At 36.6% G+C, this 17,897-nt stretch overlaps 1 protein-coding gene and 1 pseudogene across 18 annotated transcripts in view; one reads left to right on the top strand and one right to left on the bottom strand.

Moving 5' to 3' along the window:
* FER (FER tyrosine kinase) overlaps positions 1–17,897 on the bottom strand; it is a 448,945-nt gene that overhangs the window by 139,761 nt on the left and 291,287 nt on the right. For 17 of the 18 annotated variants that reach the window (NR_146155.2, XR_007058589.1, NM_005246.4 and 14 more), the window contains 2 exons: positions 12,286–12,401; positions 9,883–9,977 (listed from right to left, as the gene is read on the bottom strand). Coding sequence is in view for 15 of the 18 variants with exons in the window: in NM_005246.4 (NP_005237.2) it covers positions 9,883–9,977; positions 12,286–12,401 (211 nt within the window). In the remaining 3 variants the exon portion in view is untranslated. Of the gene's footprint in view, positions 1–9,882; positions 9,978–12,285; positions 12,402–17,897 lie in introns of those variants that run through there. The other variant, XR_007058591.1, reaches the window with a different exon arrangement.
* GJA1P1 (gap junction protein alpha 1 pseudogene 1) lies at positions 4,425–7,499 on the top strand (annotated as a pseudogene).

Below are 17,897 nucleotides of genomic sequence, written 5' to 3'. Positions count from 1 at the left end.
CTACAGAGATATACTATGTCCATGGATCAGAAAGCTTAATATTGCTAGGAAGTCTATTTTCCCCAAATTGATATATTGATAAAATAAAATCTCACTCTAAATTCTACCAAGCCTTTCTATAGAAACTGAAAAACTAATACTAAAATTAATATGGAAATGCAAAGGACTTCTAAAAGAATCTGAAAAAGAAGAATAAACCGGACTAATACTACCTGATTTTAAGACTTTTTAAAGAACTATTATTGTGTATATTAAAGGTACATGTTATGGAATACATATTGATGGTAAAAAGAATATTATAGTGAAGCAAATTAACATATCCATCATCTTACATAGTTACCCATTTTTTTGTGTGACAAGAACAGCTAAACTCTACTCATTTAGCATGAATCCCATACACAGAACAATTTTATTACCTATAGTTCACATGTTGTAAATTACATCTCTAGACTTGATCATTCTACATATTTCCTACTTTGTATCCTCTGACCTACATCTTCCCATTTCCTCTGTTCCTGCCCTCTGCCCTAGTGACCCGTTTCATTCTCTATCTCTGTATATCTGACTTTTTTTTAAGATTCCATATATAATATGTAATATTTTCATTTCTGTGTCTGGCTTATTTCACTCAGCATAATGTCCCCCAGGCTCATCTGTGTTTTGACAAATGGTCAGATCTTGCTCCTTTTTACGGCTGAAGAATATTCTACTGAACATATGTAACACATTTTCTTTATCCATTTCTCTGCTGACAAACATTTAGTTTTTTTCCGTATCTTGGCTATCGTGAGTAACACTGCAATACATATAGGAGTGCACATATCTTTACAAGCGGTGATTAAATTTGCTTTGGGCATATACCCAGAAGAGGGATTGCTGAGGTACATGGTAGCTCTATTTTTAATTCCTTTAGGAACCTTCATACTGTTTGCCATAATGGCTGTACCAATCTTCATTCCTACCGACAGTGTACAGGATTTCTCCATACCCCTGCCAATATTTGTTATCTTTTCCCTTTTTAAAAATAGCCATCCTAATTGGAGTAAGGTGCTATCTCACAGTGGTTTTCATTTGCATTTTCCTGATGATTAATAATGTTGAGCACCTATCGTATATCTGTCGGCCATTTTTATGTTTTCTTTGGAGAAACGTCTATTTAGGCCTTTGCCCATTTTTAAAAACAGTTCTTTGTTGTTTTGTTTTTGTTTTTTGGGTTTTTTTTTTTTTTTGAGACAATGTTTTGCTCTCTTTTGGTACATCAGTTGTATGTGATTTTTTTTTTTTTTTTTTGAGACAAGGTTTCACTCTGTTGTGGCACATCTGTTGTGATCAGTGGCATGATCACAGCTCACTGCAGACTCAACCTCCCTGGCTTAAATAATACTTCCATCTCAGCCTCCTGAGTAGCTGGGACTACAGGCACACGTCACCATGTCTGGTTAATTTAAAAAAAAAAGTCATAGAGACAGGATCTCACTACGTTGCCCAGGCTGGTCTGAACTCCTGGATCCAACAGTCCTCCTGCCTCAGCCTCCCAAAGTGCTGGGATTACAGGAATGAGCCACTGCATCCAGCCTCCTCTGCCCATCTTTAAACTGAGTTATTTGCTTTTCTACTATTGAGTTGTATGAGTTCTTTATACATTTTGGATATTAACCCCTTATCAGGTATATGATTTGCAAGTAGTTTTCACAATCTGTAGGCTACTGCTTCATTTTGCTGATTGTTTCCTTTGCTGTGCAGAAGCTTTTCAGTTTGATATAGTCCTATTTATTTATTTTTGTTTTTGTGGCCTGAGTTTTTGCTGTAATATCCAAAAAATCATCACCAAGGCCAATGTCCCAGAGTTTTCCCCCATGTTCTCTTCTAGGAATTTTATTGTTTCTGGTTTTATATTTAGGTCTTTCATCCAATTTGAGATGATTTTTGTGTATGGTATAAATAAGGGTCCCATTTCATTCTTTTGTATGTGAAAATGCAGTTTTCCCAGCACCATCTGTCAGGCAGACTATTCTTTCCCCTTTGTGTCTTCTTGTCAAAAATTAGTTGACTGTATATGTTTGGATTTATTTCTGAGTCAAGACTTATTATAAAGCTACTGTCATCAAGACATTGTGGTATTGGCATGGAGACAAAAGGATTGACAGAAAAGAACAGAGTCCAAAAATAGAGACACATATAAGTATGAAAAACTGAATTTAATATGAAGGTAAAAAGTTAAGTCAAGAGAGAAAGAATAGTCATTTAAAACAAGTGGTGCTGGAAAAACTGGATATCCACATGCCAAAAATATAAACTTCTAACCATTTCCCACACTATATACAAAAATTAACTTGAAATGGGTCCTACACTCAAATATAAATTTTAAACTTCTAAAAGTAAACTTAAGAAACAACTTTTAGGACCTTGGGTTCAACAGTTTTCTTAGATATACCATCAAAAAAGTATGATCCATAAAAGAAAAAAATTGATTAATTAAACTTTATCAAAATAAAGATGTTTTTCAAAAGACACTGTTAAGAGAATGAAAAGACAAGACACAGACTGAGAGAAAAAGGATTTGTATCCAGAATATGTAAAGAACCAAGACTTAATTACAAGAAAACAACCAACCCAATTTTTAAAATAGGCAAGACGATTTGGACACTTGACCAGTGAAGATATACAAACGTCAAATAAGCAAATGAAAACATGCATGACATCATTATTCAATGGGAAAGGGCAAATTAAAATCACAATAAGGTATAGAAGTATTAGAAAGGCTAACAACTAACCAGGCCAAGTAAGTGCTGACGACGATGGGGAGGAACTGAAACTATCATAGACTGCTGTTGGGAATGTAAACTAGAACAAAAACTTTAGAAAGTAATTTGGTAGTTTCTTAAAAAATTTAACATGCAAATGCCAGATGATCGATTCATTCCACTACTAGGCAGTTTCCCAAGAGAATGAAAGCATTTGTCCAGATGAAGGCTTGTACAGGAATGTTTACAGCAACTTCATTTAGAGTAGCCCCAAACTGGAAATCATCCAAAAGTCTATCAACAGTTGAATGGATAAACTGCAGTATATTCATTAAATAGAACTCCAGGCCGGGCGCAGTGGCTCACGTCTGTAATCCTAGCACTTTGGGAGGCCGAGGCGGGCGGATCACGAGGTCAGGAGATCGAGACCATCCTGGCTAACATGGTGAAACCCCGTCAGTACTAAAAATACAAAAAAATTAGCCGGGCATGGTAACAGGTGCCTGTAGTCCCAGCTACTCGGGAGGCTGAGGCAGGAGAATGGCGTGAACCCAGGAGGCGGAGCTTGCAGTGAGCCAAGATCGCACCACTGCACTCCAGCCTGGGCGAGAGCGAGATTCCGTCTCAAAAAAAAAAAAAAAAAAATAGAACTCCACTCAGCAATAAAAAGAATAACCTATTGATACACATTACAATATGGATTAATCTTAAAATAATTATACTTAGTGGAAAAAAAAGTGCTTACTGCATGATTCTATTTTTAAGAGTTCTGAGAAATGCTAATACCTAGTGACAGAAAGCACCTTAGTGGTTGGCTGTGACAGGGTAGTAAAAGGTAGAAGAAAGGAATTACAAAGAGGCATGAGTAAATTTAGGTGCTACAGATTTGTTCAAAACATGTATCTGCCACAATGAGCTTCACAGCCTCCATTACTTTTTTTTTTTTTTTTTTTTGAGACGGAGTCTCACTCTTTCGCTGAGGCTGGAGTGCAGTGGCATGATCTTGGCTCACTGCAACCTCTGCCTTCTGGGTTCAAGCGATTCTCCTCCCTCAGCCTCCCAAGTAGCTGAGATTACACAGGCATGCACCACCACACTTGGCTAATTTTATTTTTAGTAGAGATGGGGTTTCGCTATGTTGGCCAGGCTGGTCCCGAATGCCTGACCTCATGATCCACCCACCCTGGCCTCCAAAGTGATAGGATTACAGGCGTGAGCCACTGTTCCCGGCCGCCTCCATTACTTTTCTGAGACTTGTGACATTAATAAATGTGTGATATTACATAATGAATTATATCATTATTTGAAATACCTGCATGACTTGGTGATCTGATATTTTCCAAATGACTGAAGCATGATGCTATAAAATCATGCATGGGTAAAAGAGGCATTCAAACTGCAAGATCAACCAATGAACTTAATGTAACTGAATATGAAAAGTTCACTAATAAGATTTGAGATTCCACACTGCAAACAGCCTTTAGGAAAATTTAGCAAAATCTACTGTGGTAGACAGAATTTGAATATGGCCTCCCAAAGATGTCCTACTCTAATACCTGGATCCCTATGAGTGTAAGTACTACTCATAATATGTTCTATCATGTACAGTTGACCTTAAAATAAGATTATCCAGGTGTGCCTGATCTAATCATACAAGCCCTTTTAAAAGTAGAGAGTAGCAGCTTTTACGAGGTATCAGCACTTTTCTTTCATTGGGGGAAGGTGTGAGGAAAGTAACAAACAGCAGCGGAGTTTTAAACTTTAAATAGACAGGTCTGAGTGCCTGAATTTGCCTTTTCATTTTACTTCATCCTCCAAGGAGTTCAATCACCTGGCGTGACTTCACTTCTTTTAAGCAAAAGAGTGGTGCCCAGGCAACATGCGTGACTGGAGCACTTTAGGCAAACTCCTTGACAAGGTTCAAGCCTACTTAACTGCTGGAGGGAAGGTGTGGCTGTCAGTACTTTTCATTTTCCAAATCCTGCTGCTGAAGACAGTGGTTGAGTCAGCCTGGGGAGATGAGCAGTCTGCCTTTCGTTGTAACACTCAGCAACCTGGTTGTGAAAATGTCTGCTATGACAAGTCTTTCCCAATCTCTCATGTGCGCTTCTGGGTCCTGCAGATCATATTTGTGTCTGTACCCATACTCTTGTACCTGGCTCATGTGTTCTATGTGATGCAAAAGGAAGAGAAACTGAACAAGAAAGAGGAGGAACTCAAGGTTGCCCAAACTGATGGTGTCAATGTGGAGATGCACTTGAAGCAGATTGAGATAAAGAAGTTCAAGTATGGTATTGAAGAGCATGGTAAGGTGAAAATGCAAGGGGGGTTGCTGCGAACCTACATCATCAGTATCCTCTTCAAGTCTATCTTTGAGGTGACCTTGCTGATCCAGTGGTACATCTATGGATTCAGCTTGAGTGCTGTTCACACTTGCAAAAGAGATCCCTGCCCACATCAGGTGGACTGCTTCCTCTCTTGCCCCATGGAGAAAACCATCTTCATCATCTTCATGCTGGTGGTGTCCTTGGTGTCCCTGGCCTTGAATATCATTGAACTCTTCTACGTTTTCTTCAAGGGCGTTAAGGATTGGGTTAAGGGAAAGAGCGACCCTTACCATGCGACCACTGGCCCGCTGAGCCCCGCCAAAGACTGTGGGTCTCAAAAATATGCTTATTTCAATGGCTGCTCCTCACCAACTGCTCCCCTCTCGCCTATGTCTCTTCCTGGGTACAAGCTGGTTAATGGCGACAGAAACAATTCTTCTTGCCGCAATTACGACAAGCAAGCAAGTGAGCAAAACTGGGCTAATTACAGTGCAGAACAAAATCGAATGGGGCAGGCGGGAAGCACCATCTCTAACTCCCACGCACAGCCTTTTGATTTCCCCGATGATAACCAGAATTCTAAAAAACTAGCTGCTGGACATGAACTACAGCCACTAGCCATTGTGGACCAGCAACCTTCAAGCAGAGCCAGCAGTCGTGCCAGCAGCAGGCCTCAGCCTGATGACCTGGAGATCTAGATACAGGCTTGAAAGTATCAAGATTCCTCTCACTTGTGGAGAAGAAAAAAGGTGCTGTAGAAAGTGCACCAGGTGTTAATTTTGATCCGGTGGAGGTGGTATTCAACAGTCTTATTCATGAGGCTTAGAAAACACAAAGACATTAGAATACCTAGGTTCACTGGGGGTGTATGGGGTAGATGGGTGGAGAGGGAGGGGATAAGAGAGGTGCATATTGGTATTTAAAGTAGTGGATTCAAAAAACTTAGATTATAAATAAGAGTTCCATTACATGATACATAGATTAGGGCTTTTTCTCCCAGCAAACACCCCTAAGAATGGTTCTGGGTATGTGAATGAGTGGGTGGTAATTGTGGCTAAATATTTTTGTTTTACCAAGAAACTGAAATAATTCTGGCCAGGAATAAATACTTCCTGAACATCTTAGGTCTTTTCAACAAGAAAAAGACAGAGGATTGTCCTTAAGTCCCTGCTAAAACATTCCATTGTTAAAATTTGCACTTTGAAGGTTAGCTTTCTAGGCCTGACCCTCCAGGTGTCAATGGACTTGTGCTACTATATTTTTTTATTCTTGGTATCAGTTTAAAATTCAGACAAGGCCCACAGAATAAGATTTTCCATGCATTTGAAAATCTCAGCATTATACATATATTTTTTCCATCCACTTGCACCATATCATTACCATCACTTTTTCATCATTCCTCAGCTACTACTCACATTCATTTAATGGTTTCTGTAAACATTTTTAAGACAGTTGGGATGTCACTTAACATTTTTTTTCTTTTGAGCTAGAGTCAGGGAATCAAGCCATGCTTAATATTTAACAGTCACTTGTATGTGTGTGGAAGTTTGTTTTGTTTGTCATGTATTGGTACAAGCAGATACAGTACAAACTCACAAACACAGATTTGAAAATAATGCACATACAGTGTTCAAATTTGAACCTTTCTCATGGATTTTTGTGGTGTGGGCCAATACGGTGTTTACATTATATAATTCCTGCTGTGGCAAGTAAAACACACTTTTTTTTTTCTCCTAAAATGTTTTTCCCCGTGTATCCTATTACGGATACTAGTTTTGTTAATTATGATTCTTTATTTTCTCTCTTTTTTTTAGGATATAGCAGTAATGCTATTACTGAAATGAATTTCCTTTCTCTGAAATGTAATCACTGATGCTTGAATGACAGAATTTTAGTACTGTAAACAGGCTTTAGTCATTAATGTGAGAGACTTAGAAAAAATGCTTAGAGTGGAGTGGACTATTAAACGTGCCTAAATGAATTTTGCAGTAACTGGTATTCTTGGGTTTGCCCTACTTAATACACAGTAATTCAGAACTTGTATTCTGAGTTTAACAGTCTTTTGGAGTGACCAGCAACTTTGATGTTTGCACTAAGATTTCATTTGGAATGCAAGAGAGGTTGAAAGAGGATTCAGTAGTACACATATAACTAATTTATTTGAACTATATGCTGAAGACATCTACCAGTTTCTCCAAATGCCTTTTTTAAAACTCATCACAGACGACTGGTGAAAATGCTGAGTATGACACTTTTCTACTTGCATGTCAGCTACATAAACAGTTTTGTACAATGAAAATTACTAATTTGTTTGACATTCCATGTTAAACTATGGTCATGTTCAGCTTCACTGCATGTAATGTAGACCTTGTCCATCAGATCATGTGTTCTGGAGAGTGTTCTTTATTCAATAGTTTTAATTTAGCATTTTAAAAAAAAAAGTAGAGAGTATTCTTTAGCTAGTAACGTAAGAGAAAGTTAGAAAAATTCAAAATACTTGAAGGATTTAGCAGGCCCGTGCTGACTTTGAAGATAGAAAGACGATGTGAAAAGGGATGCAGGCAACCTCAAGGAGCTAAGAGATGCCCCTGGCAGACAGAAGGCAAAGAAACAGGAACTTTAGACATATAGCTGCAAGGGACATGATTCTGCCAGCAACTGAATGAGCTTGGTAGCAGATTCTTCCCCAGAGCCTCCAGATAACAGCTCAGCCTGACATCCTGATTTTGGCTTTGTGAGACCCTGAGCACGGAACACAGTCAAGGCTGCCAGGAATTCTAACCTACAGACCCTGTCAGGTAAAAAATGGGTGTCACTTTAAGCCCTCAGGTTGTGATAATTACTTGTGCAGCAATCAAAAGCTAATACATTTACATAAATCAAAATACACAGAAACTCGGATCCAACAATCTCACTACTGAATTTTTACCTACAGACACACTTCCAAATGATTCTTACAGTGAGTCCAAGGATATTCATTGAACACTGTTTGTAAAAACAAATAATAAAAATAAAAATGACCAAACTATCCACAAATAAAGTTGCGGTTGAATAAATTATGTAAATCCACAAAATGGAATATTCTGTAGCCATTACCAAAAAAAGTAGAATTGTATAGATAACTGCAAAACAGTAAAACCATCACACATTATAGTAATAAGAAAAAAAAAGCAAGATCTGAAACAGTGGTGGAGTATAATTTGTTTCATAATTAAATTTAAAGCATCTGCATTAAACATTTTTCTGGAAAAAAATTTAAAAACTGCAAGCAGCAATTAGCTTTGAGATATAATTAGACTGTTGAGTAGAAGGTTTCATTTTCAATTTTCTACCTTTTATTATATTTTCAATTTTCTAATGAAGTTTATTATTCTTATTCATTTAAAAAATATAAACAGGTTACTAGTCAGAGTCTAGATAAACACTTGCTTGGCTCCTCTACAAAGCTATCTTCTTTTGTTTTATTTAACTAGGACTTGTCATCTGGTATTTGCATCTGTGGTCCTTTAACAATTACAGTAAGACCAGAATCACCTTTCCTCAAGTTCATCCCACCTCCCAAATCTGAGTTTTTCAGTGGCGTTCCTTATTATTCAGGGGCTTCATTTGTACCCATGTAAATGTTAATATGTATTTTTATAATATTTACACATTTAAACCATTAAAACATACAATGTACTTAACACAGACAATGCCATCTTAATGAGGATAAAGATGATAATGATCTAGGTATTCTGCAGTTACATGGTAATATTGAGAAATATTTCAATAGCAAGCAAAGCAGTATAACAAAACAGGACCAATAATTATAAATCATGAAAAATTAATTTCTGTAAACAGAAATTAATGAGCAGTCTACAATATTATGTTTACTTAATATATTTTAATTAAAATTAGAAACGTTTTACATATTTCTTTAAATTTCTCCTAAAATGAGTAAATAATTGTTAAAAGTAAAGCAAATCCCTTTCACTTATTAAATACTCTATTTGTAAAGCTTATGAGATCAAATTTTACTTCTGAATGTATCTTCTACAACAGGAAGTTGGACAACGAAAAAAACTTTAAAACATACTATTAATACAGCACTTCAAAGTTTTCTTTGTTGTCAAAAGTTGTTAACATAAAGGTGTTGAAAGTCACCAGAAATAAATACCAAGACATATTCATAGACTGATCACCTTTTTGTTTGTCCACATATGAAAGAAGTTCATAATTCGAAAGTGATTCAAAGCATTGTGAGATTATTATATATAACCATCAAAAAAGAGGTTTTGCAGGGTGCTGCGGCTCATGTCTGTAATCCCAGCACTTTGGGAGGCCAAGGCAGGAGAATCACATGAGCCCAGAAGTTCAAGACCAGCCTGAGCAATATAGTGAGACTCCATTTCTACAAAAAAAAATTAAAAATTAATTTAAACATTTAGAAGAGAGGTTGTGTGGAGATGTACTTGGAAAATGATATACAGTGAACTAAATATAAGATAGTACTATCACTGTTAGAAAGTCTAAGTACACTGCCTTTTTCTAAATAGTGTTTTGCACATAAAGATGTATAACTGAATTCCATGTGTAACTATATTCTAATAATAAATCTGCCTTTTAAAAAAGCAGTTGACATTTTCTAGAAAATAGTAAAGTGTTACAGCCTATAAAAATACTGACTATAGGTACAGACTCTTTTGTTATCTGGAAATGTTAAACAAAATCCTTGGAGACTTTACGAGGAGAAATCAAAGAGATCGAACATATAAAAACAATAAAACATGACATTAAAATGTCATCATGCAAAAATTCTCAGATCACATTACCTGAAACCAGTTCCATAATGATGTAGACAGGCTGTCTTTGTGTGCAAACTCCTATAAGTTTGACAATATTGGGATGATCATATTGCTTGAGAATTCTAGATGAGATGAAAATATACGAATAGTTATCATTTGAATAATAAAGCATTAATTTGTGATCACAAATAGGGTTTACAACTAGAATACTCTTGAATCATAATTCAATTTTTAAAATTTCAGTATGACCCCAAATTATGATAAATTGGATGTATACAAACGAGTAAAGCCTTCCCTCAGTATCTGTAGGAGACTGGTTCCAGGACCCCCGTGGATACAGAAATCTATGCATGTTAAAGTCTCTTACACAAAATGGTGCAATATTTGCATACAACCTACACGCACCCTCTTATATACTTTAAACCATCTCCAGATTACTTATAAGACCTAATATAATGTAAATGTTATATAAATAGTTGTTATACTGTATTGTTTAGGGAATAATAAGAAAAAAAATTCTGTACATGTTCTGTACAGATGCAATCATCAACATTTTCCCCCACTAATATTTTTGTTCTGTGGCTGATCAAATCCACAGATACAGAACCCATGGAGACAGAGGCCCAACCATACTGATACATATTGGCAACATAATGTGGATGCAAATGAGTCAATTCTCCTTAATTTAATATTCTTTTAAAAATTATTATCTACTCTGAATGATTAACAACCATGTTAAAAACTAGTTAATCTAAAACATGTACAACTCCCTTCAAATTATAATATCTGGTTTTAGCCACTACCACAAAAGTATAGCTGAAAAGTATTAGTGGGCCAAAAATTGTAAGCTGCTAGGGTAGCGCATATATATATATATATTTTTTAACACACGCACTTGATTTTAAAATACATAAAATAGGAAATCATTTTATACTGGCAAATGCTACAGGGTAACCATTTCATTGGATTTTGTAATAGTTAAATACTTTCTTGATCAGGGTCAATTTCAAAATGGTAGAAACAAAAGTTCTGAGAAAGTTGGCAAATGGATAATTGAATAATGGAGTTTCAACAGAGACTTCAGCTGAAGCAGAGTAGACTTTGTTTGGATAAAGGCAAAATTTCATCAGAGGGCTATGAAAGTAGGATAGACTTGAAACCATGTCCCTAAAGAGTTAAGAAAAAAAACCTCAACACAGTAATAACCAACAAAAATTCTTGAGTTTGCAGGATAGCACGTAAAAAAAGAAACAACTTGCTTAATCACTGAAACTCCCGTTGTTTATAAAAGAACTGGCTGAAATTGGTTAGAACAAATAGGGCTGACTGGCATCTGTGCAGAAACAAGCTTGCTAACATCACAGCCTGAATTTCCACTGCATGGTTCAGACTAACTCCCCCTGGATTTGCACATATGAACCATGAGATTGCATGAAGAGATAACTGTGTGTGGCCAAGGACTTTCCAGGCCTCCCATTTCCCCTTCCACCAATCACTTAGTAATTTCAGAATCTACCCCCTCAACCTTTTCTAATAAAACTATTGCTTTGAAATCATTAAGAGTTGACGTTTAATAGTAAGCTTTTCTTTTCTCAAAGACCTGGTGTCACAGTATTGGCTTCTAGCACATTGGGCAGTGAGCCCCTTCTACTTGATAATGCACTCACCTATAGGACTCTAAACATGAACTAAAAATAAACTAGATTACCTCAAATGCCTGTCTGTCCCAATTATTTCTATTACCAAATCTTATTCTTTATTATCTTATCAACAGTTATAAATTCACTCATCTTTGAAAACTGCTGTATACTTTCCTAAGAGAATGAAAAAGGTAACTTTGGAGAAAGATAAAAAATTTATGCATGTTTTGTACATGTACAACTAAACCAAGGATAGCTATAAAAAGGTATATAATGTATATATATAATGTATATAATGTATATACTTAAATGTATATACTTAAATGTATATGTAAGTTATACAGTTGAAGAAGAAATCTGAGGTTCTCAGAAATGAAACCTAACAGCTGAGAAAACAGAAGCAAGCAGTACTATCTAAGGAGGGTAGGACAGATGTAATTATCTACTTAAATGTATATGTGAGCTGTACAGTATATGTATATAATACATTAATATTTTTATCATAAGCACAGTATTGCATATATACATATATGTATATGTATGTGTGATGAAAGCAAAATATCTTAACATTTTAAGAACTTGAATAATACTGCTTTTTAACACCTGGTTTGACTATGATTGCTGAATTGATCTGCAGAATATCACAAAAGCACAAATTTTTGGATTCCATACTGTAAAAGTGCTTACCCCTACTATTTCAGTAAATCACAATTTAAGATGTCTTCAAACTTACATTTTAATAAATAATTTACATAATAAATACATATTTTGATTACTTTAAATAACTCACTTGGCTTCTTGTAAAAATTTTATTTTCAATTCCTGAGGAAGATCTTCTTTACATGTTTTAACAGCAACAGAAGTTTTATCCTTTAATGTGCCCTTATATACTTCACCAAAATTTCCCTGAAAATAGAAATACATTCATTGTCTGGGGTAAATGACAGCATGTATATCTTTGCCAAATACAAGGAAAGGTACCAAAGAGGAGGAGGTGCTTACCTACATGTCAATATCACCAGTGATGAACTAATTTCTATCAGACATACGAACTTCTAACTTTACTCTATGGCTAGGACATATTGTGGTATAAAATGCCTCATTTGGCCAGGCGTGGTGGCTCATGCCTGTAATCCCAGCACTTTGGGAGGCTGAGGTGGGCAGATCACGAGGTCAGGAGATCGAGACCATCCTTGCTAACACAGTGAAACCCCGTCTCTACTAAAAAAATACCAAAAAATTAGCTGAGCATGGTGGCGGGCGCCTGTAGTCCCAGCTACTTGGGAGGCTGAGGCAGGAGAATGGCATGAACCCGGGAGGCAGGGCTTGCAGTGAACAGAGATTGCGCCACTGCACTCCAGCCTGGGCAACAGAGCAAGACTCTGTCTCCAAAAAAAAAAAAAGGCCTGATTTATAGTGTATTTATTTTAGAAGAGATGACATTTTGAAATCTATTTTTTAAAATTAAATCCAAAACATTACCGAGAAGATAAACAAGACTAACACACTAGCACAACAGCTATTCTTGAGTATTCTCTTAGGTTTTTTTACACTGCATATGTATTTTTTACATAGCTATAATCATATTATGCAAACTTTTTTTTCTTTTTTTTTCTGAGACAGAGTCTCACTCTGTTGCCAGTCTGGAGTGCAGCAGCACAATCTCGGCTCACTGCAACCTCCGCCTCCCAGGTTCAAGCAATTCTCCTGTCTCAGCCTCCCGAGTAGCTGGGACTACAGGCGCACACCACCACACCCAGCTAATTTTTGTATTTTTAGTAGAGATGGGGTTTCAGCATGTTGGCCAGGATGGTCTCGATCTCTTGACCTCGTGATCCGCCTGCCTTGGCCTTCCAAAATGCTGGGATTATAGGTGTGAGCCACCACACCTGGCATATGCAAACATTTTATAATAAACTTTAATGCTATTGTTGAGCAAGAAGTAACTAAACTAGAAGCCTACTTTGCTTACTGAGTTTTAGAGCACTAAGATGAATGTAACTCTTAATATTTGAAGTTCACAAGTTAAAATTTGTACCTTGAACTACGGCTTATTAATAAATAAAATTATTAAAATACCTTAAAATATTTTTAACAAGTCTTATATTCAATTTTTACCATTTAATCTAATAGTCAACTCAAATATTTATAAAACAATGATCAATCATGTTTTCATAAAAAATATACTTAAACAGTAAACATTCGTGATAAATTTAAAAAAGGAAAATTTGAGCTTCACATCTGTTATTCTCAAGAGATTGTCTTTTACCCACAATTGTCAGATTATTTATTACATCAGAGGTAGAGCTGAGAGAAGATATTAATTTACATGATTACTGCTGGGCCTCCACTTACCTAAAGCACTTACGATTCAGCTTGTCTAAAACTTACTGTTTTATTAATCAAAAGATTCTTCCTGGCTATATTACTTTTTTCGGTTACTAGAACCATCATTTGCCTTGTAAGCATTCAGACCCTACCTCCATAATACTTTTTGTCTTATTCCTTGCATCTCAGAAAGGTTACCCTGATTCATGACCTCAATTCTATTACCTAAGCTGATCTCATCTTCAGTCCCTCACTTCTCCAATCCACCTACAACAGCACTGCCAAATTAATCTTTCCTAGAGAAAACTTTGATTATACTACTGCTTTGCTCAATATCCATCCTTCAATTACTATCACTTTCTTGGCCTCTATATAGCTCCACATTATAACCCCCAACTGTTACATGTACTCTGAACTCAAATACATAGTGATCCCTAAATACGTGTCATGCCTTTTCTACATTTTTCCCTCTGTGGAAAACGCCCACCTCCAATCAGAAGCTGATACTTCGTCTTTAAATCCATTTCTTATGCCCCTTGTTCATGAAGACTTTCTTGATTTTCCCAAAATTGATTTTCCTGTCCCTGAATACATATTATCCCCATTGCCCTTTGTGTCTTTCTAATGGTTTCTGCCCTATTTTAAGAGGTACTGGCATGTACTAGGCATTTGAAAAATTTAAACATTAATTTAGCAACCACTATCCAGAGAATGTCAACTTTATCAACGGTGGTCAGGGGGACAGTCTTCAGACACTGAGAAATGACTATGCTTTCCCAGACCACCTCTTCTCTATCCAAAGAGGTGAGGAGGAAGCTCAGGACACTCATCACTCTGTATCATTCAATCATCATTCAACGCAAACCTTTGCTTTAAAGGGGAGGTGAGGGACTGAATATAAGATCAGCTTAGGTGACAGAATTGAGATTCTGAATCAGGGTAACCTTTCTAAGATGCAAGGGGTGAGACAAAAAGTCATGAAGCATGACTTCATCTCTGCTGCTGCCCTTCAGTCCCTGAGGACAAATCTTATGCCCCTTGACTGTGTTTATGTCAGTCAATGTAAGATGACCCTGGTCCTCGGTTAATCTTCATTTCTCCCTCTCCAGCCCCCTCAGATTCAGCATACTTCTATTTGATCCTTCTTTCTCATCTATCTCCGACTTGCATAGTGCCTTCTGGAATTCATGGCCCATCATCATCAAAATTATATTTTCAATCTATTCTTTGATCATTTCCTTTAACTTCCTGTTCTAACAAAATCCTGGCTCTCACTTGAGAAGACCCAAATGGTGGATGAACTTCCTTTTGCCATCTAAACTTAAGTGATGACTTATTTTCCCCACATATAATCCTACTAATGCCCTGCAGATAGAACACAGTGTTCTATTACCTACTTATCACTGGCTTTAAACCATTATCTCTCCCACATTCCTGAAACTCTCAGCTTTGAAAATTTGTCACTCAATTATATTACCCACTATTCCTCACTCCAGCTGTCATTTACTGAATTTGAAAATATTTTGTTTATTGGCAATTTGAGCTGTTGGGTAACTGTCAGTCTACCCAGTGTCCTAATTCTTTGTAATTTCAATAGACATTTAAAGGACCTTCCAACAATTCAAACTCTCAGTTTCTTGAACATCTCTCCTCCAATTACCTTGCACTCCAAGCTATTTTCTAGGGTCATACTTTAAACTCTGCCATACCAATAATGCAAATGTTGTATAACATCTATCTCATTCATTTCAACTTCCGGTTGGCTTCTATCTTTCTAGCTTACTTCCTCTTTTTTTTTTTGAATACTTATCCAGACTTCAAAAGTCCTTTGACTTTATAGGAACTGCCAATCTTTCGGTTCTATCACTTTTTACGTCATTCTTTTATTATATTCTCCTCCTTCTGTGTTCCACCTTAAATTCCATGGTCAATAATTATAACTGCCTTCCCATACACTCTCAGTTTATTTGCTCCTCTGTTAATCTGTAAAACTCCCTTAGCAAATCTACAAGTCTGATTAAATCCAAAACTCTGCCTATTCTGCACCTATAAAGCTAATATGGCTGGAGAAAAACCATAATCATGCTGACTGATTTAACTTTAAATTCATGAACACAAACCCTTAGGGGGCCCTTAATGCTACTCAATAATCATATTATATTTCTTTAGACCATTCACACTCCCAGTTTTCTGGATGACTGCTTCTCTTCTATTCTCTTCTCAAATCTCCCATCCTCATTCTTAGCTGATGCTTTTGTTTCCTACTTCATTTCAAGAATTGAAGCAATATAAAGAGAACTCTGGGCTCTTGTCCCTATATTGACCCACCTACCAATTTTCCTCGCTGTTATAAAAAGTGAACTACTGTGTTTCTATTAAAGTCAATCCTCCATTGTGAACTAAATTGCATCCCCTCTTACCTGCTCAAGGATGACGCTCTAGCAATGTTCATCCCTCTCTCTTAAATGATGAATTTTCACTAGATCATTCCCAACTGCAAACTAGTATGCTATTATTTTTCTCAAGTTAAACAGTAACAGTGACAAAGCACAAATCATTCTCTTGAAACTATCACCCCACATCTCTGATTTCTTTTGCAGCAAAACTTCAAAGAATTACATCTTTGCTATCGCTAATTCTCTCCTCCCGTTCCTCTCAAATCCATTCCAAACTGGCTTTCACCTAAAGCATTCCAAGGAAACTGCTCAGCCAAGTCATCAGTGATCCTCTCATTGCTAAATCCCATCTTGTTTGGCTTTTCAGCATCATCTGACACCACTGATCACTCTCTTCCTTGGTATATACTTTCTCTTCTTGTCTTCCAAGGCATCATATCTCCTGGTTTTCTGCCTCCTACTTGGCTGCTCTTTTCAACCTTCTTTGGGGATTGCTTCTCTTATCTCCACCTCTTAATGTTCGAGTGGGCAAGGCTCAATCCTTGATCCTCTTCTCTTCTTCATCTAGACTCACTCCACTGTTGAATCCACCTAATTGTGGTAAGTACCAGCTATATACTAACAACTACCAGATTTGTACTTTTGACTCAGACCTCTTTTCTCCAACTCCAGACTTAATACCCAATAGTTTCCATCATCCCCACTTGGAAGTTTCATAGAAAAACTCAATACATCCAAAACTGAACACCTCTTCTCGTTCCCTGAAATCTTTTACACTTAGGACTGAAATCTTTCTCTAATACCCCACATACAGAGTCCATCAGGATATTCAATTGGTTCAATTTCAAAAGTACATCCAGAACTCACTACTTCACACCACCACCACTGCTATCATCTTAACCTAGCATCATCTTTTAGTCAGGTAAGTTCAACTGCCTCCTAACCTTCCAAGTTGTCAGCCTATTTTCACAACTCCCGGAGTAACTTTTTAAAAAAGATCATGCCATTCCTCCTCTCAAAATTGCCCACCAGCTCGCCATTTCATTCATGATCAAAGCCAAAGTTATACAATGACTTAAAAGGTCAATGTAATTTATACCCTCATCACCTAACAGACTTCCTCTCCTATCACATTCCCTCTTGCTTACTGTTACAATGAAAATGCTTCCTTTGCTCTTCAAACAAATTTTGCATTGGCTGTTTACTCTGCATAGACCCCTCTTCCCTCAGATGTCCATGTGGCTATATTTCCCACCTCCTTCAAGTCTTTATTCAAAAGTAAACATAATAAGGTTTATCTGGATTTCCTACTAAAAACAGCAACTACAACTAGTAACGCTTCCAATCCCTCTATTGTTCACAGGACTTAGCACCCTCTAACATTATAAAATTTACCTATTTATTATGCTTATTGTTTATCTTCTCCTCCTAGAAAGAATATTAAGCTCCGTAAGAGAAAGGATTTCTGGCTACTTGCTCATTGAAACTGTAAAACATGCCTAGAAGAGTGCCTTGCACATAGTAGGCATTCAAAAAACACTGGATGACTGAATATTTGTTGAATACCAACTATCGACTATAGCTGCATCTGATACTGTATATCAAGTACAGTCTACTAAAAATATAGTGCTGAATACAAAAAAAAAAACCCTCAGCGTTCCTGCCATTACCTTATATT

This window comes from Homo sapiens, chromosome 5 (assembly GCF_000001405.40).
Source record: "Homo sapiens chromosome 5, GRCh38.p14 Primary Assembly".
Lineage (NCBI taxonomy): Eukaryota > Metazoa > Chordata > Mammalia > Primates > Hominidae > Homo > Homo sapiens.
This window is presented reverse-complemented; position numbering and strand designations above follow the sequence as displayed.